This window comes from Homo sapiens, chromosome 5 (genome assembly GCF_000001405.40).
Source record: "Homo sapiens chromosome 5, GRCh38.p14 Primary Assembly".
In the NCBI taxonomy this organism is placed as follows: Eukaryota; Metazoa; Chordata; class Mammalia; order Primates; family Hominidae; genus Homo; species Homo sapiens.
In genome coordinates, this window is record NC_000005.10 from 25,020,087 (window position 1) to 25,024,100 (window position 4,014).

Genomic DNA, 4,014 nt, shown 5'->3' on the forward strand with positions numbered 1-4,014 from the left:
AAAAAAAGCATCCCTTAAAAAATGTTCCCTTAAAAAATGTTCTGGTGAGGAATGTCCTATGAGGTCATATCACATCCTGGAAAACACCCTTGAAAACTCTGAAAAGTCCCTAAGTCACCTAGATAAACCAACTGGGTCAGGGGAAGCTATTGTCCAATATAGTTTTGAGGTGACATAACTCACCCTTATGCACTTTTCTGTTTGGAATTAATAAAAATTGGTCACAAATAAGAACCTAAGTCCCAATTTCATGCAATGGAAAGCAGTTGCAATTTTAAAAGCCTGCTATATAAAGTTAAACCACCAAATTGCCAGTACCTTGACCCAGTACCTTGACCATTCTGATGTGAGGCAGAAACAGTGAAAGTCAAGTTTCTTTCTTTTCTTTTTTAATTTCCCTGAAACTCAAATGTGCTGCCCATTAGGCAAAGGTGGAAATCCTCCATTTTAAGCAAAGAGATTTGAAAAGAATAGCTCAAGCAAAGTCTAAACCTCCAACTAAAGAGCAGGACTCATCCCTTACATTCAACTATTCCTTTCAAGCTGCAAGAACACAAGGGGTTCACAGCTGGGTAGGTGCTGAATCTGGAAGGAATGTCTGATGGTTTGTGGCTGGAGGTGGGGGGGATCACTTTGAACCCTTCTTGCTCTTTCAAGAATGTCAACCAAAAAGAAATAAGCTGAGCCACAAAATATAATTTTAAACAGTTTACCTGAACTAAAATAAAGAGACCTACTAGGGACATACTTTAAAGTCGCTTATTTGGCCTTTATTACAAGCAGGTTTTTAAATGCAAAAGAGGATAGGAAGTGGGCTGATACAAAGTTCTTTGAGAGGAACTCTCACTGGTTTAAGAAAAATAACAGTGATTAGTGGTTGGCTATACATTTTTGTACTACAGGGTATGAGTCATGATTTCTAGTACATGGCATTTTATGGCTACTTGGCATCAGTTAGTTTAGAGCCCACATAGAAAGTGGCTTTAAGAATTAATTATTGTGTTCAAGGTGGGAGGGAGATGTGACTACTGTCACATTATAAATATCTTTTTGGGCCTGGTAATTGAAGTGGCTCAGGTAAAAATCTTCCCCCTACCCACCTCAGAAATTTATTTCTCAGTATGCAGTTATAGGCAGACATACAAGAAAAAGTGATCAATTCTGGTTTTAAAGGAAATATTATCACTTTGAAATATAGCATATTCATTAAATAGGAAAACTAATGATCAGTATGAAAATGACCATAATTTTAAAAACACAATGAAGTTATATTACCAAATTTTTTTAAAAAAAGAAACAACACCATGAAAGAGTTGTATTGAATGTCTACAATGAAATTCCATATTGAGCTGGGGGCTGTAAAATCCCCAATGTGCTTAGGGTTTATAAGGAGAGGCAGATCAGTAAGCCAGCGAGTAAAGTGCAGAATAACAAGGGCTATGAGAAACTTGTGCATCCAGAGGTACCGACACAGAAGCGATGTGTCATAGGAAAGACTTCCTAGATGCCTGAATGCCTGAGATGATCCGGGATGGCTGAGAGTTAGCCAGGGAAATGAAGTTGAGAAGAACATTTCAGGCAGAAGTAAAAGAGATAAAATAAGCACTACAGAGGAGAGGTCAATGAACATTAATGGAAATGCAAATGATTTAATGAGACTGGACCAAGAAGTGCAAAGGTAGCAGTGGCTAGTAAGAAAGCCAAGCAAGGGAGATAAGTGTTGTGTCCTTGATTGTCTTTTCTGCCCCACTAGAAGACTTTGAACCCTTCCCAAGGACTTTGGCAACTCAATAGAATACTTTACAAAAAAAAGTATGCGATTAAATCTCTAATTTGTCGAATTATTCTGGTAGAAATGCTGCAGGTGATTAGAGGGGTTGAAGAGTGAATTCTGCGACAAGATGTTAACAAATCAAGAAGGGAATAACAAAGCAGCAGGGAAGGATATTCAAAAACTACTTAGCAACCAGAAGCAATGGAACTTGGTGAAAGATTGCATTGAGAGAGTAAAAAAGAGCAAATCACAAGGAAAGAAATCCAGTATGTTAACTTAAGAAACCGGATAGATGTGAACAACTGGCTGAGATTGCAGAACAAACATACTGATGGCACACTGTGAAGATGATAATATCAATTTGAATATTTATATTTGTAATGCCAAGAGGAGATTTTTAGCTGACAGTCTTGACCTCATAGTGGGATTTGACATGAGTTAAAGATGAGGGAGTATTCAGTATTTAGGCAGGAGAGTGATTTCTGTCACCCAGGGTGTGTGTGCATAGCACAAAGAAAAGTAAGCCAGTAATTGATCCCTGAGGAAAGCAAACATTCAGAGGATAAGCAATAAAAGAGAAGGCAGAATAAAAAGTGGGCCAACACATGGAAGAATAATAAAGTAGAAATAGGGAGAGGAAGGCTGGCAGTCAAAGCTTTTTCTAGAAAACAGAACTACTCTGTGTATTTCAAATAGAGAATATTTAAAACAGAATTGATTGCAAATTTGTCACAAGAACTGGGAAAGCAAAAATAAAAAACTGAGGTTATTCAGAGATTAATACATTCAATAAACCCCTACCATCCTTAGGCTAAAAGATACAGATTGCCTAGTTGCTCTGCTGCTGAAGCAGGAAGACATTCTACATCTGTCTTGGCTGCTTGGGAAGAACCCTACAACTCTCTACCACACCACCACTGCCTTCCAAAAATCTAGAGGCCCACACAATTTTTATACTATAATAGTGTGGAAATATTTAAAGTAACTGAATGATGAGCAACATTAGTAACCTCCAGCAAAATTATGCTACCAAGGCTGCATTGATTCACATCCAGAAGGTAAAAGAGAGGGCCACAGGGCTTATTCCTTTTTCCCATTTCCCAGACTCCTAATACCTTCCACTGGGGGCATCTATGAAGAAACGAAGGTTTGAGGCTTCCAACAGAGCAGAGAAAAATAAAAGTAGAATAAAGACAAATAGACAAATGCCAGGTACACAAATTTTTAAGGATAGACGTTCAACATGAGAGACTTGACTGAAGCATTTTAGTTTGATTGCAAACTGCCAGCAAAATTGCTTTCTGAAATGAAGCATTAAGTTCTTTCTCTTACTATAAGCGTACAAGTATGCTTTTACACGTTTGTCAATACTGGATATTATCAACTCTTTTGTCTTTGTAAACACAACAGATGAAAATAGATATCAAAGTGTCACTTTCATTTGCATTGCAATAGTTAGAAGCAGCTGCAAGTTGTTTTTCTTAAAATATCTGTGAGCATTTCTGTATCATTTCAGTAACAATTCTGCTACATCCTTCTAGGGAAGACATGACCTCACGTATCTGCTGATCTTAGGCAATAAAATAATGGAATCGTGGTAATGGCATTAGTTCTGTTTTCCAGCTAAGCTTTATGCCTCTCAATATTTAGAGTCCCTCAAAGGTAGATCCTGACACAATGATTTGGGTGTAAGTATTTTATTTAGTGAATGAACTCAAGAAACATCAAATGTACAAGAAAGAATATGTCTCGAACTTAGAAGGTTTACTAAAGTACTTCATGGTGTTTCCTTGCCCAGAAGTAACATAGTAAAAGAGTGAGAAAGTGAGAAAAAGAAGGGAAACTTAGTAAAGAATGTTAATAAATTGGTCACTGCCTTGAGAACTTGACACTAAATCCCACAGGTGTCCCTTTAAGAAAGCACTGAGCTCAAAATGTCTCCCAAAATCTAAGGGAGCTAGATTTTTTTTGTTCAATTTCTGGTCCTCATTTGTTGAGAATAAGCAATGGGGTGTGTTGACATGCTGATATTTCTGTGTATCAGTTGAACATATTTCTACAAACAGTGAACACTTTTAGTCATAAAAAGCTAGGAAGCCACTGAAATATACTGGAACTGTTTTGGGGTAAAAAGGAACCAAGATAAAATGGGTGTACCTCTGCTCAGTTACTCCCATTTCAACGCACCCAAATTGAGTTCACTCTTCCCAGTCAGTGACTCTTCAGGATTGCAACTAGAA

General features: G+C 37.5%; 1 annotated feature.

The window, feature by feature from the left end:
- Nucleotides 434–728: a silencer, noted in NCBI's record as "tiled region #953; HepG2 Repressive non-DNase unmatched - State 24:Quies". NCBI's record gives its function as "represses a minimal TATA promoter and a strong SV40 promoter by Sharpr-MPRA in HepG2 cells {active_cell/tissue: HepG2}" and the evidence as "EXISTENCE:reporter gene assay evidence [ECO:0000049][PMID:27701403]".